The 26,690-nt window shown below is 38.2% G+C and overlaps 1 long non-coding RNA gene across 1 annotated transcript in view, besides 5 other annotated features; it reads left to right on the top strand.

Annotated features, from left to right (window-relative positions):
• The window catches only part of LINC01435 (long intergenic non-protein coding RNA 1435), a 197,718-nt gene that overhangs the window by 15,347 nt on the left and 155,681 nt on the right, over positions 1-26,690 (top strand). The window contains exons 2-4 of the long non-coding RNA NR_125760.1: positions 10,623-10,769; positions 12,753-12,898; positions 13,449-13,586. This is a non-coding gene — a long non-coding RNA (long intergenic non-protein coding RNA 1435). The remainder of the gene's footprint in view (positions 1-10,622; positions 10,770-12,752; positions 12,899-13,448; positions 13,587-26,690) is intronic.
• Positions 3,967-4,026: an enhancer, noted in NCBI's record as "active region_3995". NCBI's record gives its function as "activates an Ori minimal core promoter by ATAC-STARR-seq in GM12878 lymphoblastoid cells {active_cell/tissue: GM12878}" and the evidence as "EXISTENCE:reporter gene assay evidence [ECO:0000049][PMID:35858748]".
• Positions 13,149-14,348: an enhancer, noted in NCBI's record as "MED14-independent group 3 enhancer chr10:109799357-109800556 (GRCh37/hg19 assembly coordinates)". NCBI's record gives its function as "activates an origin of replication core promoter dependent on BRD2, BRD4, P300/CBP and CDK7 cofactors, and independent of MED14, by STARR-seq in HCT116 cells {active_cell/tissue: HCT116}" and the evidence as "EXISTENCE:reporter gene assay evidence [ECO:0000049][PMID:35650434]".
• Positions 13,583-14,084: an enhancer, noted in NCBI's record as "NANOG hESC enhancer chr10:109799621-109800122 (GRCh37/hg19 assembly coordinates)". NCBI's record gives its function as "activates a minimal SCP1, AML or CMV promoter by ChIP-STARR-seq in primed H9 embryonic stem cells {active_cell/tissue: H9 hESC(primed)}" and the evidence as "EXISTENCE:reporter gene assay evidence [ECO:0000049][PMID:30033119]".
• Positions 13,783-13,842: an enhancer, noted in NCBI's record as "active region_3994". NCBI's record gives its function as "activates an Ori minimal core promoter by ATAC-STARR-seq in GM12878 lymphoblastoid cells {active_cell/tissue: GM12878}" and the evidence as "EXISTENCE:reporter gene assay evidence [ECO:0000049][PMID:35858748]".
• Positions 13,853-13,992: an enhancer, noted in NCBI's record as "active region_3993". NCBI's record gives its function as "activates an Ori minimal core promoter by ATAC-STARR-seq in GM12878 lymphoblastoid cells {active_cell/tissue: GM12878}" and the evidence as "EXISTENCE:reporter gene assay evidence [ECO:0000049][PMID:35858748]".

Here is a 26,690-nt window from a genome sequence, read left to right as displayed (position 1 = left end):
GATGAGTAGAGTTGAACTACAGGTAAGCTGTAGGTAATTGTATACCAGTATAAACTCATATGATAAATTAGCACAGTTTTGAGAGTCATAGGTTTTCACAGAATAAAGGGACTATTTGAATTCCCAGAGGATTCATTGCAAGGTAACTTCAATACAGAGTTACTCTTAAGCATTATAAATGAGATTGTTTATAAGTTCTAAACTGTCCATCCAAGAATGGGCTGTTACTCTTATATGAAGGCAGGATGAACAAAATTGGAAGTAGGCAGATTCTAGAACCCCTTATAACTCAGTGTGGACTCTTCTCCAGAAAAAACAAAAAGATCCATTCGATGTTTTAGTATTGCTCATAATCACTTGAAATTCAGGTTTGAAGTTAGTGTCTCGGCCAATAGAGGTTCTCTGTCGTGACTCTCCTCGAAGCTGACCTTACATATCTGATATTTTGCCTCTAAAGGATCTGGACCAAGATAGGATTAGTGAATATCTCAAGAACAATCAAGAATGTAAGAAAATGTAAGTACAAAAGAGAAAGTGGATTTTTTTTCTTTTTTCTCTTCTCCCAAGCAATATGTTTTCTGAAGATTTCTGGGTCTTACTTTTGTTGCTTATTTGTTACTTTTTGAAAATAATAGAGATTTTCTCATTTTACTCATCAAGTATTGCTCATCAAATATTGAGGTTCTTTACAGCAGCACTAGTCTCTCAGGAAATTGCTCATCAAATATTGACTTTCTTTATAGCAGCATTAGTCTCTCAGGAAACTACAGTATGGTCATACTAGGGGAGCCAATTGAGGAGGATGTCAGGATATGTAAGGTTCTTTCACAACCCAACCGGATATGGCTTAGAGAGAATTAAACTTTTCTTCCAGCCTATGCATCTGAAGGTCTTTCTTCTTCTGTCTATTAAGAATGGAAGGGAATGAGCTGAGAGCAAATCTCTCCTCCTGAGTTTCTAAGGAAAGTTTGGCTTTAATTAAGACTGGAATTAAAAGCAGATCTTCAATTTTTAAAAACTTTATTGCAAAACTGTCCAATCTAACTTAATGCCATATTTATTTAGAGGTGCTGCATACTGGGTTGTGGGAAACAAAGAAAATACAGGAACTTAGTGATCCAGTTAACCTCTCCACCCATCAGTGAGCAAATAATCTCTGCCCTATAGTGTCTGACTCTCCTGATGTCAGGAGTTTTGGATCTGGCTGCCTTGATCACCAGCTGTATACCTGATCCATTCTCCAAGCATTAGACCACTGGTCTAGGGCTTCAGTTAGACTTAACATGGAATTATAAAACATTGCCCCTTTGCCCAAAGAGTATATTATAGTCTATTTGAGAGACTATACACTCACACACATACATATATAAAAACACACACTTATGCATAAATACACACACATATATATACACACACATAATCTATGTATAGATTTATATACATATATTTATATATGTATATAAAAATATATGTGCATAATATCTATACATATATGTATAGATATACACATATATAGATATATTTATATTCATATACATATATATCATCTTATTATCTGTGTATGTGTTTGTATGTATACATACATATATACACACTCCCAGTATATAGTCTACTGTCTCTGTGTATCTGAATACACACACACACACACACAGAGACACCTAAAATATATGTGTATATATATATATATATATATATATATGGAGTTAGCAGGAAGAATTTAAGGAAATGTTGTGGTTTTAGTGTATACAAAGCTGAGTTTGAAACCAGACCCACTAGCGGGTAATGCTGAATAGAACCTCTGCCTTCTCTCATTCTCAATTATTTAATCTGGAATATGGGAACAAAAGCAATATGTACAATTCTCTCTATTCAAACTTCCAGAGACTGAGAACTCCCTTTAAATGATTTATTCCCAAATGGTTAGGTTCCCTAGTGGGTGAGATTTGCATGTGTACACATAAATTTTAATAACAAAAGACAGAAATTTATTTAATGGAAGCACCCTAGTCAGTGGTACTGCCATGATTGGGGCAGCAGTCTCCTAATTTATGTGCATTCAAATTATTCAATGGACTGAGCATCAACTATGATAGGTTAGAGGATATAATGGAGAGAATAATCATAAATTATTTTTGCCATCATGGGGTTTATATTCTGAAAGCTGGTACTCTGAGAGGAGACAGGCAGACAGACACACATTCACACAAGCACACACACACACATATGCTAATTAAAAGTATAACTTCAGAGGTATATTATGTTAGGAGACCATAAAATAGATTGTTTTGACTTTGGGAGGTAGGAGTATGACAGAAGAATTACAGAAAGATGAGCTGTAACATCAAGGATGATTTGGAGTTAAATGTGGTTGGGTAGGAGGGAGAAGAGATGATGAAGCAGGAAATGTAAGGAGTGCACAAGGCAAAAGGCAGATGAGTGTGGCTGGTTTGCTTGAGTAAAAAAGAGAAAGAGGAGTGTAAGATAAAGCTGGAGAGGTAGCCAGTAGTTAGACCATGAAGGTGCCTGCAAATTATGTAACTGTCATAAAAATTGTTTTCTATTTTAGGAACAATGAGAAACCTTTGAAGAAGTGGTAGAAGCTAGGGAAAGTGGATGACACGATCAGAGATCATGAGATCACTTTTAGATGTAATGTCCTTTTTACCTGTAATGTAGGAAATTGGTTGGTTTGGGTGATAATGTGGATTAGGGACACAAGTTCGGAGACTCTTGAAACTTTACTAGGAACCATTTTTAGACCATGGTAGCATGGACAATGGTGCTGGTGGCAGAGGGTGTATTATTTTCTTATGAATGCTGTAACAAATTACCACATGTTTGGTGGCTTGAATAACAGAAATGTATTCCATCACAATTCTGGAGGCCAGAAATCCAAAATCAGTTTCATCTGATCAAAAACCGAGTTATCCATCTATTGACAGCCCCTTCTGGAGGCTCTGGGGAGAATCCATTCCTATCCTTTTCCCACTTTGGTGGTGGCCCCTCTCTCTCTGCCAGGTCCCAGGGCCAATAAACTGTGTGAGCTTTGCATTCAGGACTCACTAGGCAGTGACACCCTGCTATAGGTGTGCTGTACCATGACAGGAAATGGAAAGAGGGAAGTCAATACTTTGACTCCACTCTAGTTTGACCTCTTGATTATACTGCTGCAGTAAGTGATTCAGTCCTTGGCAATTACTTTTGCTTTTGTCTTGTTGCTTTAACTGATCATTCAAATATCACCTCAGTTGAGCTCCTGATAACCAGCATTCTTACTCTGAGACAGGGTCGGGTACCTACCATCAACAACATCACCATATGATGAGATGAGATGAGATGAGATGAGATGAGATGAGATGAGATGAGATGAGATGAGATGAGATGAGATGAGATGAGAAATTGGATTTCTGGAAGGGCTCACTTTATTGGAGAAAGCTCCTTTTACTAAGAGAACACTTGAAATTTTCTTCCTCCAAGCCCATCCCCATCTCAGGCCTCTCTGGAGACTGGCCTCACTCTGGGGTGTCTGGCTCTATATAGTCTTCTTTCTCTCAGGCTTCAATTCTGCTTCCTATGTCCCACTCACTTTTCCATTTTGGTCTCTCTCCTTCCTTGATGAGCTCACACTGCATTTTAGGCCTCTAGTATCTGTCTTCTCTCCTGCAGTAGCCAGATCCAGCAGCCATATGCCAGTCTGGTAAGTCTAACATAAAAACAAAATCTCTTACAGCTTCCTGAAATCACTCCCTCCTATGACTACTCAAACTCACCCAGGAACCCATCAGACTCCAGGGACACATCAGTGAATAAGACTGGCCCCATCCCTACTCTCACAGGGCTTATATTCTAGCTGGAAAAATTACTATTAAACAGTAAAATTAATATGCCATGAACAGGCTAGAAAGATTATGATTCTATTTCTAGGACTCATTTATTCTTTGTTCTCTTCCCATGAGGTGCAGCAAGAATACCAGAGAGACCAGACCATGAGGATAGAGACTTTAGGTTAAACCAGGGTCTCTCTTCCTTGTTACCTTAGCGCAGACCACAAAACAAAGTTATTTCTGTGAGTCAGGGATTTTCCCCAATGCTGTGACAAGGACAGGCTGACACTTGCTTGTTGGTATCACTAAGGAAGCTTTATAGAAGCATTTTCTCTCCTCACTGCTGAAATGTGATCCAGGGGCACAGCTCTTCAGAAAGAAGGCAAGTTTTCCTGTGGGGCTTTCATCTGAAAGCAACACTAGAGCTGCTCACTTGATTTTTTCTTTTCTTTTTTTTTTTTTAAGACGGAGTCTCACTCTGTCACCCAGGCTGGAGTGTAGTGGCGTGATCTTGGCTCATTGCAACCTCCACCTCCCGGGTTCAAGTGGTTCTCCTGCTTCAGCTTTCCAAGTAGCTGGGATTACAGGGGCACAACACCATGCCTGGCTAATTTTTGTATTTTTAATAGAGAATTTTTAGTAGAGATGGTGTTTCACCATGTTGGTCAGGCTGGTCTCGAACTCCTGACCTCGTGATCCACCCGCCTCAGCCTCCCAAAGTGCTGGGATTACAGGGATGAGCCACCGCGCCCAGCCTTGATCTCTTTACCCTATGGTCACCTGCAGGATCATCGGTCTTCATCTCCTAGACCAACCTTGCACAGAAGGCCTCAGTATTCCTACGCTTGCTTGTGAGCCAGCATTGTCCTGAGGTCTCATTCAAACCACAGCACTTAAGCCATATCCCTAGGTTCTCTTAACCTGTTTATTATCCCAATCCCTATAAAACTGAGGCCCTGTCAATTTTTCTTTAGATTTCTCTCCAAGCTCTGGAATCTTATCTTTGCAACCTCTCTTAGGGCCATGGTCTAACTACCTAGCCTGTAAATTTTTATGATGTCAAATGTGTGTCTGCTTACACTTGTCCAAACTGCTGGGACTGGATTCTTCTCTGCTGCCATACCTCAGAATTTCCAGAGTGAACAACTGGCCTGGATCATGGCCTTTTGACGCTATAGTCTTTTGCTTAAGGCCCAAATGTGGGGCTGGACTTTTTCCCTGCATGGACACCTGGAACTGTACAGAGGACCTAGTTGGCAGCCAGCCCTAGTGCAGCCGAGTCTGTTCAGCTGGAGTCTTGGGCAATGGCCATACCCTCTCTTCATGTCCCATCTTTACCATCATGGCAGGAGGCTGGCCTGAGAATATGCCCCCTTCAATATACATGCCACCATTACCTCCTATAGTGCATGAGACCCTCTTTTAGTGTAAACATTGCTCTCTCAGATTAAATGTAGAAGCATTATGAGAGAGAAGGCTAGAGAGAATGTTTAGGGTAAAAAACAAAGGTAGCCGTAATGTAATATCTCAGACTCTACAGAATGAGATATTCTCTGGGCCAATGACATTCTCTAGGCAAATGATGGTGACATCTTATTTAGAGTCTTAGATTAACCAGATGGCATGAGCTGGATCATGACTCACAGCAAGGTTTCTACCTTTATTCACCTTGCAATGAGGAAAAACGTCTAAATAGAGTTAGCAATTGACTGTTCCAAAGTGCCCTGAGGACAGACAGTCTCTTCTCTAATAAGGAGATACTTTATTCAGAGTGACAAATTACTCAGAAGGTCACATTTTCTCCATGTGATCAGGCTGAATTTTATGATGTAGCAGGTTGATAGTGGAACTATTTCTGCAATTGGGACAGCACATCACGAGCCCGAAAGGCTTTGTTCAGAGGCAGGAGAGAGGCTTGAAGACTAGAATGAGGAGGAAGGTTGGTCTGAAGCTCCCTTCAAGAGAACAATCCATTTATATCTCTCCAACTGTGGTAAGCCCATGGGTGGGTTTGTATTCCAGTCATGGAAGGACAATTAGGAAGTACAGGAATTCTGCAGCAAACCACATATTTTATTCTAAAAGACATATTAATTTCTCTAATTTTCATTCAGTTTTAAAATATAAGAATCATGAAATCCTAAGTATTTTATATATTTTTTGACAATCGTATAGTAACTTATTCAAGCAACATGCAAATCAGAAGACAACTAAAGTTTACATAAGGGCACAGCCAACCCTCATGAAAGTATAAAGCCATTTTTCTATGAATTGATTAAAAATATGAACATTAATATCACTATGAAGAAAAAATGAAATCATTTATAAACTCTCTAAAAAGAAGTATCTAAACATGTTTCTATATGCGCTTCCACACATTTTTCCTATCAGTTTTTATATACTCTGTTCAAAAACAAGTTCATGTTGTAATCTTCATTAACTTTTTTGTTTGTTTTTGAGATGGAGTCTTGCTCTGTCACCCAGGCTGGAGTGCAGTGGTGTGATCTCGGCTCACTGCAAGCTCTGCCTCCCGGGTTCACGCCATTCTCCTGCCTCAGCCTCCCAAGTAGCTGGGACTACAGGCGCCGACCACCACGTGCAGCTAATTTTTTGTATTTTTAGTAGAGACAGGGTTTCACCATGTTAGCCAGGATGGTCTAGATCTCCGGACCTCGTGATCCATCCACCTTGGCCCCACAAAGTGCTGCGATTATTAACTTATTTTTTAAACTTAAGAGTTTAACATTGACATGCTTCTGCATTATTCATGTTTCTATATTCTTAAATTCATTCTGTCATGATATGTTGAAAGCTAGGTTGTATTAAATTAAATCAATGTATTGATTCTTAGCCAATCTTAGATCTATCCATCTCTCTGATACATTTTGGATGTCTCCTCCAATTCTCCTGTTGGGACACAATCCCCAGTGTTGGATGTGGGGCCTGATGAGAGATGTTTGGGTCATGAGGATAGATCCCTCATGGCTGGGTGCTGTCTTCACAATAGTGAGTGAGTGCTTGTGAGATCTGCTTGTTTAAAACTGTGTGGCACCTCCCCCTGATTCTCTTGCTTCTTTTGCTCCCTCTCTCACGATGTGAAATGCTTGCTCCCCCTTTTCCTTCTGCCATGATTATAAGCTTCCTGAGGCCTCACCAGAGGCTGAGCAGATGGCAGAGCCATGCTTCCTGTACAGCCTGCAGACACATGAGCCAATTAAACCTCTTTTCCTTATAAATTATCTAGTCTCAGATATTTCCTTATTGCAATGCAAGAACAGCCTAAAATGCTATCTGTTCATCTACATATATATAATAGGAATTGGTTCATGCAATTGCAGAGGCTGAGAGCTCCCACTCTGTAAGCTGAAACACCAGGAAAGCTGATGGTATAATTCATTCCAAGTCTAAAGGCCTGAGAATTGGCAGGGATACTGGAGTAAGTTCTGGTCTTTGTTCAAAGAACTGAGAACCAGGGTCATTGATGTCTGAGTGAAAAAGGAAATGGTGTCCCAGCTCAAGCAAAGACCAAATTAACCCCTTATCCACTTTTTGTCCTATTTAGGCCTTCAAGTGATTGGATGATGCCTACCAGCATTGTTGAAGACAACCTTCTTCACTCAGTCTATCAATTCAAATGTTAATCTCTGCCAGAAAAGCCATCACAGATACACCCAGAAGTAATGTTTTGCCAGCTCTCTGAACATACCTTAGCTCAGTCAGGTTGACACATAAAATCAACCATCAAAATGATGTTTTTAGTTTTTTAATGTTATCAACACAATGCTCTTCTGAATATTCATATATTTGTATTTCTACACAGTTTTAAAATCATTTATTTGGTTAAATTCTTAGGGGGGATTCTTAAGCCAAATGACAGAGATATACATTTTCATTCATTTGCTTGGCAAATGAGGAACAAAGAGAGGGTAATTTAGCATTTTTCATCCTTTGTCCTTAGCTGTAACTTATGCCATAAATATGCTAAGATAGATATACATACACACAAAACATTAGGTAGAGAACTAATGTCTTAATTAAATTTTCATGTCTAATAATATGTTAAAGTTACTTTTACCATCCTGTTTTCCAAATTAAGATCATTTTTGAGAAAAAAGTCTTTTTCATAACATATAGTCTTAAAACACCTTATATCTTAGAAGATGACTACACACATAGCTACACACACACATTGGCTTTCACAGCGCAGATGGCTTTCAATAGCATTTTTGTATACTGTCCTCCCAAATAACACTTTATGTACATATATATGTGTGTGTGTATATATATATATATATATGTGTGTGTGTGCGTGTATATATATACACAGTATATGTATAGACAGATAAATAGATTAATGTTTAGATATATATATATATGCACATATATATGATATATTATCTATTACTGATTCCACATCATTCTAAAGTATACTGATGAGCAAATTAGAAATGTCATTAATTCCATATTATACTAAAATATATTGGCAAGAAATTTGGATTCATATTTAAGAGGGAGTTTATTTTAGTAGCACAAACATGTCACATGAAACCTAACATGCAGAACTGAAAATGTTGTGTTTGGGACAGAAAGCTAGGCTAAGCTCAGAGAAATTCCTCCAAAGACCACCAAATCTGCTGAAAATCCAGATGAATTTGTCGTAGATCTGCAAGCACAATAGGGAAGCAAAGATGGGTCACTGTTGCATAGTCTCAGCCACACACTCTGAGGATAGTTTCTTACACACTTACACACATGCTCACACACAGATGTGTGAATCTCCACATGCTCTTTGTACTATTCTTAAGTATGTTTCCGCTGGTCTTCTGGGTATAAAGCCTAGAGAACTAGCCTAGTGGAGTGATGAACCCTGCTGTCACTGGAGTCAAAATGCCTATATTAAATTGTGATTCCATCACCCATCAACAGGTAGTCTTGAGTAATTTACTATTTTAATGTCTCAAAGCCTTAAATCTTAGGTAACTTAAACTCTAAGCCTCAGTGTTTTCCTCTATAAAATGAGGGGGATGCTAGTAGAGTCTGCTTCTCAGGGCTGTTGAAAGATTTTAAAGCTCTTGACACCTAGTAAACACTCAGAAGGGGCTGGGAATTATTATTACTACTATTTTTCTTCATTTTAGCATTATTTTATTTTATTTCATTTCATTTTGTTGTTATTATTTATTTTTGAGACCAAGTCTCACTCTGTTGCCCAGGAGGGAGTGCAGTGGCATGATCTCAGCTCACTGCAACCTCTGCCTGCTGGGTTCAAGCAATTCTCGTGCCTCAGCCTCCTAAGCAGCTGGGACTGCAGGCGTGTACCACCATGGCTGGCTAATTTTTGTATTATTAGTAGAGATGGTGTTTCACCATGTTGGCCAGGCTGGTCTGGAACTCCTGACCTCTGGTGATCTACCTGCCTTGGCCTCCCAAAATGCTAGAATCACAGGCATGAGCCATCGTGCCCTGCCTTAGCATTATTTCAATACTTAAAACGTCCTGAACATTTTAGTGCCAGGCCAGTAGTCTCCCTTTATTTATTTATTTATTTATTTATTTATGTATTTATTTATTTATTTATTGAGACGGCGTTTTGCTCTTGTTGCTCAGACTGGAGTGCAATAGCATGATCTCAGCCTGCTGCAACCTCTGCCTCCCGGTTCAAGCGATTCTCCTGCCTCAGCCTCCCCAGTAGCTGGGACTACAGGCATGTGCCACCATGCCCAGCTAATTTTGTATTTTTAATAGAGACAGGGTTTCTCCATGTTGGTCAGGCTGGTATCAAACTCCCAACCTCAGGTGATCTGCCCACCTCGGCCTCCCAAAGTGCTGGAATTACAGGCATGAGCCACCATGCCCAGCCTCCCATTATTAGGAAATAGTAGTGAGAGAGTCAGGTGTGAAGGGGTCCCCAGAAAAACTCCAGCCAGCCTGCGCACTGGGGTGGAGCCTTGGGGAGTTTGCCCATTGGCAGCAGAGAGGAACCTGGCCCCTATTCTTCCTGTGTGGAACCTGAGATACCTGGGTGGGAAGCACGCTAACAGGGCCTCTGGCCTTGTGGGGTGTCCTTGTTTCCCCCTTTTCTTCCTTTTCACCCAATAAAACCCTGTCTTACTCACCATAAAAATTGTCTGCCAGCCTGAATTTTCGTGGCCATGGGACAAAGAACCCCATCTTTAGCTGAACTAAGAAAAAGTCCTGCAACTGTAGCACATCAACATAAAATAATTCAGTGTAAACCTAAAGTCATAATTAACAATAAAAATAGCTTATGGCCAAAACTACAGGTGGGATTTCACATGGCAGATGTTCTAAATGGATTTTGAGCTCAAAGTTGGAATATCTCATACCAGCTTTTACAATTATGCAACTAATTGCAGTTAGCCTAGATCGCGCCATTGCACTCCAGACTGGGTGACAAGAGCGAAACTCCGTCTAAAAAAAAAAATGCAGCTAGAGTTCTCATCCTTCATCTAGACTTTCTAGTCAGTGACCTCAAGCCTGGGTGGAAGTATAGGTTTTGTCAATAGTTCAAGCCAACTATTTTTTGTTCAATAAAGATAATATCAGATATATCAGGAACATCACACCTAATTGACAGGGGAGTACCATCTGGTGAAACTTTGGGCAATTAATGCCTCTGAACTTTTAACAAATCCTCTAAGGCAGGCCTGACTGCACTATGGAGTGCTGGTGAGATTTAGAAGAGATGACAGACATGCAATCGAATGAAAGACCGCAAAGCAGGAGCTAGTTAGCAATCATCAAAATAAATATCACCATCACCCCCTCTTTTTACAGATCATTGTCTGTTAAGACCCCATCGCAGAGAAGTTAAAGAGCTTCAATCACCATGCTTTCAGGGTCAATTTGTCTCCGAAAAGGAACAGATGGGGAAGAATTATTCCATTCACAGTTGACTTGTCAGAAATTCCAAGATCTTGGACTGTAAGTAAACGAACGACCTTGCTTATGAAATCACGAATTCCCTTTTGTAGGAAAGTAAAATTGTTGTCACTAGCCCAAAGTCTAAATACACACTCACCTTCCATATATTTTCAGCTCCTAGTCAGGGAAGAATCTGCTTCTGTAAAAGGTTTGCAAGGTGCATGTGGTTTGCAAAGTGGCTGTTGTTGGTATTGATGGTGAGGGGGAGGAAGGGGAGAAGGACAGAGCTATACAGGTTCCCTGAGAGTTATCCCATTTAAATTGTTAGCGTTAGCTGTGTTAGCCTTCAGCCTAATCAAAAGCTCACCACAAATGTTGCAATGGAAAAAACAAACAAAAATCCTTTAAATGGCAGGAACAAAGCAGAAAAAGAGGGAAAATGAAACAACCTGCCATTGTGGGAGGACTCCTGCTCCAATACACAGCAGTCTCTCCCAGAATGAGCAATTCCAGGCACAGTGTACAAACAGGCAGTTGATAAGAAGGGGCACACCGGGCTGTCAGCTTCTCCGTGGCCTACCTGAGGTCCATGACTCTGTAGGAAGAAGATGTAGCTTTATATTAATATTTGTACAAAATTGATGAACTAAACCAAATAGACAACTGAGAATCTGGCTCAATATCTGCCAAATTCCAACCTCACCTTTGTCAAATTGCACTGTATTTTTTCTTCTGTGAGAAAAACAAGAATGAAAGCAAGTCTGGATATTTTCATATAATCTCAAACCATCTATTGAAATAGAATGAAAAAAGGCAAAGCTGGACAAGTTGGGCTTCTACTTATAGAAGAAAAACTTTGACTTTATATTTAAATATTTTAACATACATTTATGATAGAGGAAAAGATCTATTATGTTTTTGCTGCAAAGTATAGTATTCCCTGTTTCTAAATCCTTCCTTTTATTTCACCAACAATATATATACTGCCTGTATGATTGAGCAGTTAAGTAGGAGGAAAATAAAATTCAAGAATTGTACAAATAGATTTTTGAAATTAGCAAACTTTAAAAGTAGAAAAGAGGCTTGTAAAAACCAAATAAACAGCCGAAAAAAAGAAAGCAAATATTAAAACAAAAGTACAAGGACAGTGAGGAAAATTTTGGTTAGTGACTCTCAAATATAATGAAAAGTGAACATCTGTTCGTTTTTATCTCAAAAGTAAATTTTATCTCCACACATTCGAAAGAAAACCAAGCAGCATTAGGGTCATAGTCAGAGAAGGATAGAGATCACCTAAGACTCCAAACCACTGTCATATTTTAATGACACAGTAATATAACAAATTAGATACGGTCCTAATTTGTTAAAGATGTTAAACAGCACTAACAGGACAACCTAGATGGCGATAAGATTGGCATCAGATTAAGATTGGCCTCACTGGGTGAAAAATGCAAAAGAGTATAAAGTGTTCTGTAAATATGTAAATCCAAGTATGTATGTTTGAAAATTTCTCAGGTTACTTTTTCCCTGGCCTAGTCACAGAACACTGTAAATAAATCAGTGCTATCAGATTCTCATAGTTCCACCTCACTCTGCCAGTCAGTATTTCTGCAATCACTGTTTCCCTGGGAAATAGTAGGGTTCCCACCTTGGCAGTGGTTGATAGATGAAAATAAATTGTAGAGCCCATCAAAATCCACTACTGCCTCCAGTTTACATCACCTTTTTGAGAGACCATGATCACAGAGAGGAAGGGTAGAGGGACCTGCTAACACTCCCCCTTTTCACATTGTCATTTGATAATCCCTGGGAATAATACAGGGTATTCTGGACTCTGATTCATTTGATATTGGGAAATCAAGGTGGAAAACAAGAAATTGTTGTAGCAAGAGCATTTAGGTGACTGATACTGTTTGATATCCGTGCATCCCTTCCAAAGCCTAAGAATTCTCTCGTTAGACAGAACCCCTAGAATTTAGGGGTGTCAGAGAAAGGTTGGTTCTCAGTCTATATCTCACACATTCCTCTATTCCTGTGACACAGGGCTGAAAGCAATGATGTTGCCATTCATCCTTTCACGTATTCATTATGGTCTACAGCTGAGAAGGGCTATTTGGGGTTTGCTTTGCCTGATGGTAGCAGAAGAAAACCAAGAGGCCTCTCTACGAAAGCTTGCAGTAAGGAGAAAGGTAAAATGTTAAGTCTAAAGAGAACCAAAGAAATCACCTGGTCCAACCTTTTCATTCTACAAGTGGGAAAACTTGCAGAAAGTTGCTTAATTTTTCTGGATCTGAGGCACACAGTTCATTTATTATGATCATATGAAGAGAGCTCACGGATGCCATTATTAATAGTCCAAATCGTACAAGACGGCTAACAGTTTCTCTTAAAAGCCTGTTGGATTTACATTTAAAATCTATGTCTGCCAATATGAACCAGATTTGTGACCTTAGTTACATTTTAAATATTTGCAAACTGAGGGTGTGGAAAGTTAAATAATTTGCCTAGTATATAGAGTGTGCTCTGTGGATTTGATGGGTTCTCTACGTGCTTAGATAAGAGATCATCTTGCAAAGCCCTTGGCACAATGTGTGACACCACAATACATGGTACTTGATGAAAGAGGGCTAATAACAACATTATGATAATTATTGCTATTATTACTTGTCCATTTTGTGCTGCTGTGGCATAATGCCACAGACTGGATAATTTATAAAGAACTTGAATATTTTCTCACAGTTCTGGAGACTGGGAAGAGCAACACAAAGATATTCAGTTGCTTGGTGAGAGCTGCTCTCTGCTTCCAAGGCGGCACCTTGTTGCTGCATTCTCCAATGGGAAGGAACGCTGGGTCCTCACATGACAGAAGGTGGAAAGGTAAGTGCACTGAATGCTGCGTGAAGCCTCTTTTGTAATCCCATTCTTGTGTCCTCATGACCCAATCACCCCTTAAATGCTTCACCTCTTAATATTATCACATTAGCAACCCTTGAGTTTTGAAGAAGACACATTCAAACCATAGCACTGCTACTATTACTAGCTTGGTGCAAAAGTAACTGTGGTTTTTACCATTGAAAGTATCACAGATGATAAATTCCTCTTCAAAAAGCTTTAGTTTCCTGTTCTTTGTTTTTCAAGACCAACTTCTTTGTACTTCCTTGTCTCCTAACTACCTGTTAAACAACACTTCTCGCCTTTGCTGTGCCCAGACAAGTCCAGACATGCCTTCCCGCCCAGTAACGGGCAGCCTCTACCTTCCCACCTAATTGACCCTATTCAATTTTAAACCTTAGCCAATCAGGTTAGCTTAGATTGTGCAGTCCAACCCCAGTCAATGGGGAAAAGACACAGCAGTAAGAACCAATTGCGTTACAAATAAAAACCCCTGCCCCATCCCGCTGGGAGTGCTCTTGTGATCATGACTGACGCAGGCAGCACCCTTCTCCAGAAGTAAATTTGCCTTGCTGAGGAATTTTTTGCCTAAGTGCTGGTTTTCTTTGCACTGCCGAGCAAAAGTAATACAAAAAAACAATTACTTTTGCACCAGCCTAACACATAAAAATATCAGCTGCTCCTCTTCCGTGTCATCAATTTCCATCAATAATCTGCTTTTAAAGTTCCTGCCTTGTATTTCCTTCCCCCACACACTTGGGTCATATTTCTTCAACACAGCGCCCTATCCTGAACTGCATTTTGCCTCTTTCTGAAGTCACTCCTGTGTGTGTCCATAATCAGCTAGCAAGCCTCTGTATTTCCTTGTGCTTGCAATTTCTGGACATTAGATGCTAAATTGCTGTCATGAGAAAGTGGCAAGTGACAGTTTGCCACATTTAACCATTATAAAACTCACTCTACCAAAACAAACAAAGCATAGAGAAATGGTTTGAAGATCAAAAGGAATGTATATGTATATATAGGTGGTGTTGCCTCAAGTCAGAGGATTAAGTGAGTTAATGCTAAGGAAGTAATCAGCTTCAGTTAATGAGAGTGATTATCTTGGAAAATAGAACTGTCACTATTGCTTGCCACATAAAACAGTACATTTATTACTTTTGGATGCTAACTACTTTAACAGAAATATCATTCGTTTATACTGAGATGTTCCCCAAAGCTGCACTTTCATTAATGAAAATAAGACCCTTCTGGATTGTCAGGTTGTTATCTTCCTATCCCTGGAACCCTTCTGAGAGTTTTCTGATTGGGATCTAAGGGATTGCTGGGTGCTCACTTTCTGTGATGAGTTGCCTCTAGTAGTAATTTCATTTGCACCTCAGAAACAGTGTGGATGGCCTGAGGTGTGCCCCACGGCTGCCTTGGTGCCATCTTAAGATCTGACCTTGAAAGATTCTATAGAATAGGGAATCTTAGAGGTAAAAATCTTAGATTTGCAAAGCCAAAAGTAAAGCTGCATTATGTGGTGGGAAAGCCATTCAGCTCTTTACCTTCTCTTCCCTCCTTTTATAGTCAAACTGATTTATGGCATTTTCTTGACTTTATCTCCTGTCCCTTCCTCCTCAGTTGGCTCCAATTTGGCTCCTGTCCACTTCTCTACCGAAGAGCTCTCTTTAAAATTATTCATGATCTCTCTGTAACTAAATGAAATAAATATTTTTACCCTTTCTCTTACTTAACCTATCAACAGTATTTTTCCCCCAAGACTGAGATCTAGATCTTGCTGGAGAAGTCTCAGCTGTGGCTTACAATGCAGAAGTGGTTTTCTGAGATGCAGCACCAGAGACACTTGCTGAGAACCCTGGTAGAAATCTGTCCTCTGAGGTGCCAGGGAAATAGTCTGAGGCAGATGGCTTCATTCAGAAGTAATTTCAAAGTTGCTTAGTAGCCTACCAGAGGAAGCTACTGGGGATATTGCTGACCCCCTTGTTTTGCAGAATGGCACTGCAAGAGTGATCCACTGTAGGTACTTGAGAGAGGATGCTCAAGCTAGGGGAAAAAACTCTTTCCTCCTCCAGTTTTCATCCAGAGCCCTCTAATGACAAACACATGAATCTAACTGGCAAATGATTACAGAATTCATCTACATTATTGAAGAACACACAATAAAGGCAAGAAAGGGTGTATTTGGATGGGAAAAGCAACACGTTATTAAGAAACAGGTTGACCTAGTCAACCCTACTGAGTTTGGGATTCTCTCAGTTGTCACACAGAAATTAGTATATAGAAATCTCAAAGGAACTGTAAACTTAATTTATTCAGGAATGAATACATGAACTTTCTCCTCAAATTGGTCCCTCTTCAGCTTCACTATCTGTTTTTTTGAAGTCAGAAACTTAGAAAGAAACCTTAAATTTCCTTCTTGTTATATATCCAAAACACCATGAACTCTTGACTAATCTCTTAGCTCCTACTGAGATCTCTCCATCTAGGTTTCTATCTCCAGCCCTGGGTATAGAGCCTAGTGTATAACAGGCAACCAATAAGAATTTGATGAATTAATAAAACTTTATATGGTAGACTAAATTATGTCCCCTCCAAGATAGATGTGTCTTATTCCCTAAAAACTGTGAGTATTACTGTAGAGGAAAGAGTTTGACTTTGCCTAGAGGAAAGTTCGGCCTCTGCCTTTGGCTTTTGGGAGATAATCTATTTCATACCTGCTAGGAGTATCTTTTTTCACGGCAGAAGCTGGGCCACAGCAGATCTTAGGGTAGAACCGTCCATACCTGACAGTCAAAAATTAGAGGCAGACCATGCAAGAAATTCCAGTCATGTGACTAAAGATGGGGACTTCGGGTCATGATATCAAATGATCTGAAGACTGAGTTTAACCCTATGGGCAATCACTCACTCATTCAATCAATCATACCTATGTAATGACACCAAAGCTTGGGTATCTGTGAATACCAAAATACTGGACACCAAAATTCTGGACATCAAAACTTGTGTGAGCTTGCCTAGTTGACAATACTCCATGCATATTATTACCCATCAATGTCAGGATGGTATTGTGTCCTGAGGACAATAGAAACTTCCTATTTGGAAACTTGCCAGACTCTGCCCTGTGTGTCTTTTCCTTTGGCTGATTTTAATGGTATCCTTTCCCTGTAGTAATCCAAAAGTGTGAGTATAATAGCCTTCAATAAATTATGTAAGTCTTTCTAGCCAATTGTTGAAACTGAAAGTTTCAACTTTTGGAGCTCCCCACCCCAAACTTGTAGTTGGTGTCATTCTATGAGGCTTATACTTTCAGACCTTATGGTTTGGCTAATTCTGGGCAGTTATATGGTGAAAAGGACATTTTAGATATGGTTAAGGATCTTGATCTGTGAAGATACTCCTGAAATATCCAGGGGGGTTCTAAGTTGAATTAAGTGTATCCTTATATGAATAAGGCAGAGGGAGATTTGATACATACCAAAAAGAAGGCAATGGGATCTCTCATTGTTGATTCTTTCTTGGCTCTTCATTTGGTATTCTGCTTACAGTCAGTCTCTTCCATGTGCTCTCTCTCCTTTTCCCTCCACCTTTGGTAACTCCCCGTGCCTTTGTGGAAAGCTCTCATTTCTCTCGTTAGGCTTGCCTATTTCTTTCTCACACTTTTTCTTTTGAGTTGCCAGTCTTGCTCATCCACCCTTTGAGTTCCCCAAGTTTTATTTAGAAAGTGAGTACAAATAAAACTGCTTCAGAGCTCAGGCAATGTAGGCGAGCTTTGCCTTTTGAAAAATTTTATAGCTGAGTGATAAATCAAAATTATTATGGAGTGTTGACAGACTGTTAACTAATGCATCACTGGGGATGTTTTCACAAGGATTGCTGAACATAGGAGAGTAAATGCTTAATGGCCTTTGTAGTTAAAATAAGTCAGCAAACAGCAACAATGCATAAGAGCTATGGTGGTTACATAGGAGGTGGGAATTGCAATAAAGCTTGTCACTGAGAATAGACTGTCACCTGATCCAGAGTCAGGACTCCCAGAGTGGGGCAAGTACTTGGGGTCCAAGAAGGTAGGCAGCAAGAGGGTGTCTGGCAATTGGTCCCAGGACTAGGGCTTGTTAGCCAGAGAGCCAGTGGATCCTTCTCTTTTAGTAATCAGTTCCCGGTTTTCAGGTACTGGCTACTAGTACTAGAGTATAATCTTTCATTAAATAAACCAGGAAGGATTCAGTTACTAGTTTGGGGTATAGAGTAAGTGGTAGAGACTTCACCAGACAATTTACTGTCACTGCTAGGCACAAAGATATATTTCCCAGTCTCTCCACACTTCCACACAGTATGGGAGGAAATAGTTCATGCCACTTCCACTTTAGCCCATGAAGCCATCCCACACATCATGCATATCCTCCACTCTTTTTCTCCATTGGATGGTGTATTCGACACTTCTTTAAAGACAACAAATGGTAGAGGCATAAGATGGAAGGGGCTTGAGTCTCCACCACTTGCTCTCTCTTTCTCTCTCTCACTTATTTGCCCTTCAAGATCTAAACTCAACAAATACTCCCCAACTTTACCAAACATCTAAAGCAAAATAAATATCTGTAATTATCTGGAATATGACCACACTTAAAAAAATTAAACCAATTATAAAATACTTTTATAAACCCAAGTTTTAATTCTCCAATGCATATACAAGGCTTCTGAAAAATGAGACATAGGATGACTGCTTACTGCTCTTAGGGCCTAGCACAAAACAAGACATCAACCTCATAACTTCTGAATCCCTCTCAATGCATGACATTGAATAGATTTGGAGTTGAAATAAATGCAGACAAATTAAATTGGCATACAATGACATAAGCTTCTGCTCCAAGGATGAATGCCAATGTTAACTTTATCCCCTTATCCTCAGCTCTGGATTGTTTTCTCCCTCTATATAATTTATGTGTGAAATTTCTGAGGTTAAAAGGGGAGATTACAAACTTGAAATAACCATAAAACTCACTTTCTTTGGTGGAAAGTTGCTTTGAGCTTCAATTCAGGGGAAAACACTCATGAAAAATAGTACTTCTGGCCTTCCCATTATTACTAGATCATCATCCTTATATATCTTACCATATTTGACCAACACCAGAGGGCTTTCATGCCTGTTCTTTTCCAAATCCACTGGATGCAAGCCAGTCTCTTAATTGTGCACATGAGTGAATATGTAAGTGATGCCATGGGTTCTACACCATTCTGAGAAGCCATGAGTTAGTTCTTCAACCTTCTGAGAAGCAGTCATGGCATACACATTTTCCATAAAAAAAACTGCCGTAGTGCAATTAAAGGAGAAATAAATCTTGCTGTCTTGATGACAGCCTGTGAAACTGAAACCATGTAATATAGACTTCTCTGAGAAAATAGAAACTTATATTCTTTGACAGTGTAATTATTATGCTCTGTCAAATTACTTTGCTTTTTTCATAAAAATCACTTAATACTTCATGCAGAAATGACTTTTGCCATCAATTATCACTTTGGGGAAAGTTAATAATTTAGAAACTTTTATATTTAAAAATTGCAAATCCAATAGATACATGTGAAGCCATAACCAGGTTGTCCTCCCACCCTGAAACTTTGGGGTGACTGCTTCTGCCTCAAAGTAAGGCTCCAGAGAGAACAATTGGGTTGCACATTAAGAAAACTCTGTTTGGTATTTGGAGGTCAGATTGTCAATAACAATATCGGAAATAGCTTAAGAGGGTCTTGTGACTTTTATTTAGAAGAGAGACATTTTCTCTGTAGTAATAATTTTTGTCTTTTCCTTTATGACATTTTAACTGAAAGATCTCAGTTTTTCAAAGTCTATAGTTTCCAAGCTGATATTTACTGGTAAGCAAAATGCATTTTTATCTTTATGGCAGAAATTATAGTAATAATGATAATTTTATCTGGCATTTACTAAATGATTAATACACGCCTGACACTCATCTAGGTTTTTTACATATATTATCTTACTTAATTTCTTTAACAACATGAGAAAGTTTATGTCATTATCCCATTTTATAGATGAGAAAATAGGAGTGCAGTGATATTAAATAACTTTGCCAAGGTGGTGAAATTAATGTGTCCCACTGCGAATTTGTATCCAGATGGTCTGAGTCAAAACCAGCCATTGTAGTCAGCACACTTTACTGCTTTCCAATAATAGCTATTGATTATGGAGTGTTTACTCTTGAGCACATTCCACTTTTTATTCTTTTTTTTTTAAATTGTAATTTAAGTTTTGGGATACACGTGCGGAACGTGCAGGTTTGTTACATAGGTATACACATGCCATGCTTGTTTGCTGCACCCATCAACCCATCATCTACATTAGGTATTTCTCCTAATGCTATCCCTCCCCTAGCCCTCCACCCCCTGAAAGGCCCTAGTGTGTGATGTTCCCCTCCCTGTGTCCATGTGTCCTCATTGTTCAACTCCCACTTATGAGTGAGAATATGCAGTGTTTGGTTTTCTGTTCCTGTGGTAGTTTGCTGAGAATGATGGTTTCCAGCTTCATCCATGTGCCTGCAAAGGACATGAACTCATCCTTTTTTATGGCTGCAAAGTATTACATCGTGTGGGTGTGCCACATTTTGTTTATCCAGTCTGTCATTGACGGGCATTTGGATTGGTTCCAAATCTTTGCTATTGTGAACAGTGCTGCAATAAACATACGTGTGCATGTGTCTTTATAGTAGGATGATTTATTCTACTATAAATAAATGTAAATAAATAATGGGACCCAGCAATCCAATTACTGGGTATATACCCAAAGGATTATAAATCATTCTACTATAAAGACACATTTTTTTCTATTTGAAATTTACAACAAATGAGATACAGTGCAAATCAAGGTGCAGTGAGATACAGTGCAAGTTTATGTGTATTTCAACATCTAATGTTCTAGTAGTATAAAGATAAATTTAAATTTTTCTTTAAATATTTGAATGCTAAATTGCTTATCTTAATGCCCTTTTTGGTGATCACTGTAGAATTGGAAGCATCCACTATCTAGGAGAGATATATAAATGAATAATTTGGCGGGTTTTTCAAGTGTATTTGTGGTGATTATATTGCATTTGGCTCTTGTATCTTCAGTAAAAGAAGCCTTGAAGCACTTCACGTAAGCATTTTAGTTAACTCTCTCCATACTCAGGACATAGATATATCATTTCTATTAAGGCACAAATGTGGGAAGCACATCTGAGGCATTGAGGACAGATCCCTGGCCTCATGGGAGTGACTTAGGATTGATTATGGTGGAGATGGGTCTGTGAGAAGTTGAAGTCAGAAACAATACTCAAGAAACCCTAATGCCTAAAGTTCTCCCAGCAATAACTAACTTTCATAGAGTCCAGTGACCCTTTGATGATCAATTCATCAATACATTTTTATATAATAAAATATCCTGATTATTTTCCCTGTCCTCTTTTCTCGACTGGAATACAGGTCTGAAACAGAGGAGAGGTGTGGTGGTGAATAGAGAGATTATCTCTTTTCTGAATGACCCTAAACATTTCAGTCAATCTCAAACCACTGCCAATAGACTCTTAGGCACCTTTAGTTAGAGTCACCATTTCTTTTGTTATCATAGGAGTCTGGCTAGTTGGTGACTTTAAAAATCATGCTACATTTTGAAGCTATTTCTACCCAGTCTTCCTTCCTTCTGTCTCTCCTTTCACAGGTGTCAGATCTTCATTGTGGTTTGAAGGTTCTCTTCACCTACTCCCATTGTCTCTTTTTATCTTTCTCGGGTGTTTCCTCCAATAAATCCCTTACAAAACTCACCCCATGTTGGCATCTGCTTCTCAGAGGACCAAAACTAACTTATGTCAGCTCAGATACTTAAGTGATTGCAACTGTCTCTTGAGCAATATTATCTTTTGTCCATAAATTATAGTTGGCATTTTTCTTTTAATGATATGCACCACATTATCTAATAATTAATTATGCACGAGCTAGCATCCATCACTCATTTAAAGCCTCGAAAAATGGAAACCACTGGGCCCATTAATGTGTTGTCCACCCTTCTTTTTCTAGCTACCTCCCACCAGTCAGCAATGAAGTAGTCTATACCCTTTCTTTTGTAGTTACACTCAGATCTATTTTGAGACACTGACACTAGCTAGATGACTAAAAAAAAAAAAAAAATCCTTCTAAGCCTTAGTTCCTTCCTATCTGAAATATGGCATCAAGAGACTATAGTTAGTAATAATGTATTGCATACTTTAGGAAATCTTAAGTATTCTTATCCTCCCACACACATATATACAATGTAACTCTTTGAGGTGGTAGATGTGTTAATTAGCTTGATCGTGGTAATAATTTTACAGTGTATGCATATATCAAAACACCATGCTATACATCTTAAATACATTCTTACTTATCAATTATACCTCAATAAAGCTGGGGGAAAATAATCGAATGTGACAAACTATATAAAACACTTAGCACTAATGATAGCAATTTTAAAGAGCTCAACAAATATCTATTGCTGTTACTAATATTAAGACAGTTGTAGCTTTCAACAGACAGACCTTCAAAATCTCATAACTATAGAATTGTAAAGGTGGTTAAACTCTTCAGAAATCAGCTGGTGAAACTGAGGAGATGCAAACTCTTGATGACAAACTGAGAGTTGGTATCATGTGAAAGAAGTAGAAAGAATAAGCACCAGTTTTCTCTTAGTCCAGTCTTAACTCAGTGTTGCATAAATGTGTTAATGAGAATCCAGCCAAATCAGATGTCCCCTCAAAATTCATTATAAGCCCCTATTGAAAATGAGCATATAGACCTATAAAACCAATTCTAATTAGCCTTTTTATTCTTTGCTAATAAAACTTGAAACTTTCATTTGATCCAGTAAAACTCTTTATAACCTTTTTTTAAAAAAGGTCCTCCTTTAAAAGTCATTTTATATGTTCTAAGTAAAATAATTACTGATTTATAAAAAATGTATTCCTAATTCCACAATTACCTTTTTAAAAATTGCTATCTCAATAATGCTTAGTCTGAGATTTGTCTATGAAATAAATTACTTTATTTAATGTGTACTGTAATTTTCTCTCAAATAATTACTTAGGAATTGTAGAGAAAGTGATGTGGGCTGAGAAACTCTAGTGTATAATTTTGGACCTGATCTCCCTGGCACAAATTAGGCAATACTCAACATTGATTGCTATGAAATAAGGCTGAAGTCCATTGCTCAAGTGCTGGGACGTGTGTGTGTGTGTGCATACATGTGTGCTCACATGTGCACGTTTGTGTGTGTGTACAATTTTGCTTGTCATCTATCAATTGATACTTCGGTTGCCTCCACATTTTAGCTATGGTGAATAAGGGCGTTATGAACATAAATGTAGAAACATCTCAAATATCTTTTTTAGACCCTATATTCAATTATTTGGGGTATATACCCAGAAGTGGAATTATTAGATCATATGGTAATTCTAGTTTTAATTTTTTGAGGAAATTCCACACTGTTTCCCACAGAAGCTGTACTATTTTACATTCCAACCAATACTGCACAAGGATTCCCATTTCTCCAAATACTTGTCAAAACTTTTTATTTTATTGTGTTTATAGTAGCCATCCTAATGAGTTTAAAGTGATATCTTATTGTAGTTCTGATTAGCATTTCCTAATGATTAGTAATGCTGAACATCTTTTCATTTGCTTTTTGGCCATATGTGAATCTCTTTTAGAGAAATGTCTATTCGAGCTTTTTGCCCATTTTTGCACTCAGTTGTTGTTTTTGTGGTTGTGTTTTAGAGTTTTCTCTGTATTCTGGATATTAATCTTTTATCAGATATGTAATTAGTAAATAGTTTCTCCCATTCAGAGGATTGTTTGTTTACTCTTTAGCTAGTATATTTTGATGCACATTTAAAAAAGCATTTCATGAAGGCCAATTTGTCTACTTTTTTTGTTGTCATTATTGCCTGTATGTTTGGTGTCATATACAATAAACCACATTGCCAAATCTAATGTAATGAAGATTTTGGCCTATGTTTTTTAAAGATTTTTATAGTTTAAGGTCTTATATTTAGTTCATGAATGTATTTTGAGTTAATATTTGTATATGGTGTTAGGTAATTACAAAGAACCACAAGTTTTTGTCCCCTCAAAATTTACATGTTGAAACCCTAAACCCAATGTGAGAATATTTAGAAGAGAGGCCTTTTAGAAGTAATTAGGCCATGCCAGTGGAGGCCTCATGAATTAGTGTCTTTATTAAGAAGCACACAAGCAAGGATCTAACAATTTCTCTTGTTATCATGTGTGGATATAATAACTTTGCAGCCTGCAACCTGAAAGAGGGCCCTCACCAGAAGCCGACCATGCTAGCAATTTGATCTCAGACTTCCAGCCTCCAGTAAAATGAGAAGTAAATTTATGTTGTCTATAAGCCACCCAGTTTGTGGCATTTTGTTGGAGCAGCTCAAACTGACTAAGACAGTAAGAGTCCAACTTCAATCTCTTGAATTGAAATAATCAGCTTTCCCAGCACTATTTGTTGAAAAGACTGCTGTATTCCTATGAAATGATCTTGACACTCTTGTTGAAAATCATGTGACCATACATGCAAGTGTTTTTTTTTTTTCTCGAATCACTAAATGTTTTGGTTACTATAGTACTATAGCTTTAGAGTAACTTTTGAAATCAGGAAGTATGAGCCCTCAAGCTTTGTTCTCCTTTATCAAATTGTTTTAGCTAGTCAGAGTTCCTTGAGCTCTCATATGAACTTCAAAAAGTTATTTTCTCTTTCTGCAAAAAATGTTATTTGGATTTTGATAGGAATTAGATTAAATCTCTAGATCACTTTGAATAGTATTGCCATCTTAACAACATTAGTCTCTCAATTCATGAGCGTAAGATTTCTTGACATTTATTTATGTCTTCTTTAATTTCTTTAGTGTGCTTTGCATTTTCATCGTCTTCCTCATCTGTGTTAGGTTTACCTTTAAGTATTTTAATGGTATTATAAATGGAATTGTTGCCTTCATTTTTTTGGATTGTTCATGGTTAATGTATATAACTGCAAGTAATTTTTGTGTGTTGTTTTTGTTCCTACTATACATACTTTTGCTGAATTCATTTATTAGTTCTAATAGGTTTTTGCAAAATACTCATTTTATACATTTAAGATTATATTATCTGTAAACAGAGATAAACTTACTTTTTTTTTTTTCAATTTTGAATGTCTTTTCTTTGTTTTTCTAACCTAATTCCTCTGGCTGGGACTTCCAGTACTATGTTGAATATAAGTGGCAAAAGAGGCATTCTTGCCTTGTCCCTGAACTTATAGGAAAAGCTTCCAGTCTTTCTCCATTGAACGTGATGTTCACTGTGGGTTTTTCATATTTAGCTTTTATTATATTGAGGTAGTTTCCCTTTTTTACTAGTTTGTTGAGTATTTTCTATCATCAATCCATGAGTTTTACTGAAATTTGTCAAATGCTTTTTATGCACCAATTGAGATGTCCATGTGAGGTTGTTTACTTTTATTCTGTTAATATGGTATGTTACATTGATAGACTTACTTTTTATTGTTTAAAACTTTAATTTTAATTTTTGTGGGTATATAACAGGTGTATATATTTGTGGGGTACATGAAATGCTTCAATACAAGCATGTAATGTGTACTAATTACATCATGTAAAATGGGTATCCATCCCCTCAAGCATTTTTGTGTTATAAACAATCCAGTTATATTTTTTTCATTACTTGAAATTTACAATTAAATTGTTATTGACTATAGTTACCCTGTTGTGCTACCTAATACTAGGTCTTATTCATTCTTTCTAACTATTGTTTTGTACCCGTTAACCACCCCCACCTTTCCTCCAACCCCCACCCCCACATTGATTGGCTTACATATGCTGAACCTTCAGTACATTCTATGAATAAATTTGACTTGGTCATGGTATGTAATCCTTTTGATATGCTGCTGAATTTTGTTTTTGAATATTGCAACAATATTCATCAGGGATATTGGTGTGAGGTCTATTCTTGGAGTGTCTTTGTATGGCTATGGTATCAGGGTAATGCTGCTCTCATAGAATCAGTTAGAAAGTGCCCAGTGGTTCATGCCTGTAATCCCAGCACTTTGGGTGGCTGAGGCAGGCAGGTCAGTTGAGGTCAGGAGTTTGAGACCAGCCTGGACAACATGTCAAAAACCTGTCTCTACTAAAAATACAAAAATTAGCCCAGCATGGTGGCTTGCACTTACAGTCTCAGATACTTGGGAGGCTGAGGCAGGAGGATCACTTGATCCCAGGAGGTGCAGGTTGTAGTGAGCCAAGAGCACACTAATGCACTCCAGCCTGGGGAGTGGGAGTGAAACCCTGTCTGAAGAAAAAAAAAAGTATCCCTCCTCTTCAGAGTTTTGGAAAGTCTTGAGAAGGATTGGTGTTAATTCTTATTTAAATATTTGGCAGAATTCACCCATGAAACTATCAGGTCCAGGGCTTTTTTTGCTGAATGATTTTTTATTACTAATTCTATATTTTTGCTATCTTTAGGGCTACTGAGGGTTTTTTAAATTTCTTTGTGTTTTAGGTTAGGTAGGATTTGTGTTTTGAGGAGTTGGTCAGTTTCATCTAGGCTATCCAGTATGTTGGTATAAAATTATTCATTGTACTCTCTTTTAATCCTTTTTATTTCTGTAGAATTTTTAGTAATATTCACACTTCCATTTCTTTTTTTTTAAGAGGAGTATACATGCGATTTTTTTTGCTAATCATTTCAGAAGTGGACAAAATGGTTATGTATAACTGGAGCCCTACATTCTATGAAAATGAATTTGATTATATATATTTTCTTTTTAAATTATACTTTAAATTCTTGGATACATGTGCAGAACATGCAGGTTCGTTACATAGGTATATATGTGCCATGGTGGTTTGCTGCACCCATCAACCCATCATCTACATTAGGTATTTCTCCTAATGCTATACCTCCCTTAACCTCCCACCCCTGACAGGCCCCAGTGTGTGATGTTCCCCTCTCTGTGTCAATGTGTTCTCATTGCTCACCTCCCACTTAGAGTGAGAACATGCA

Source organism: Homo sapiens, chromosome 10, assembly GCF_000001405.40.
Source record: "Homo sapiens chromosome 10, GRCh38.p14 Primary Assembly".
NCBI lineage: Eukaryota > Metazoa > Chordata > Mammalia > Primates > Hominidae > Homo > Homo sapiens.
Note: the sequence above shows the minus strand (reverse complement) of the source record. Positions and strands in the feature narration are given on the sequence as shown.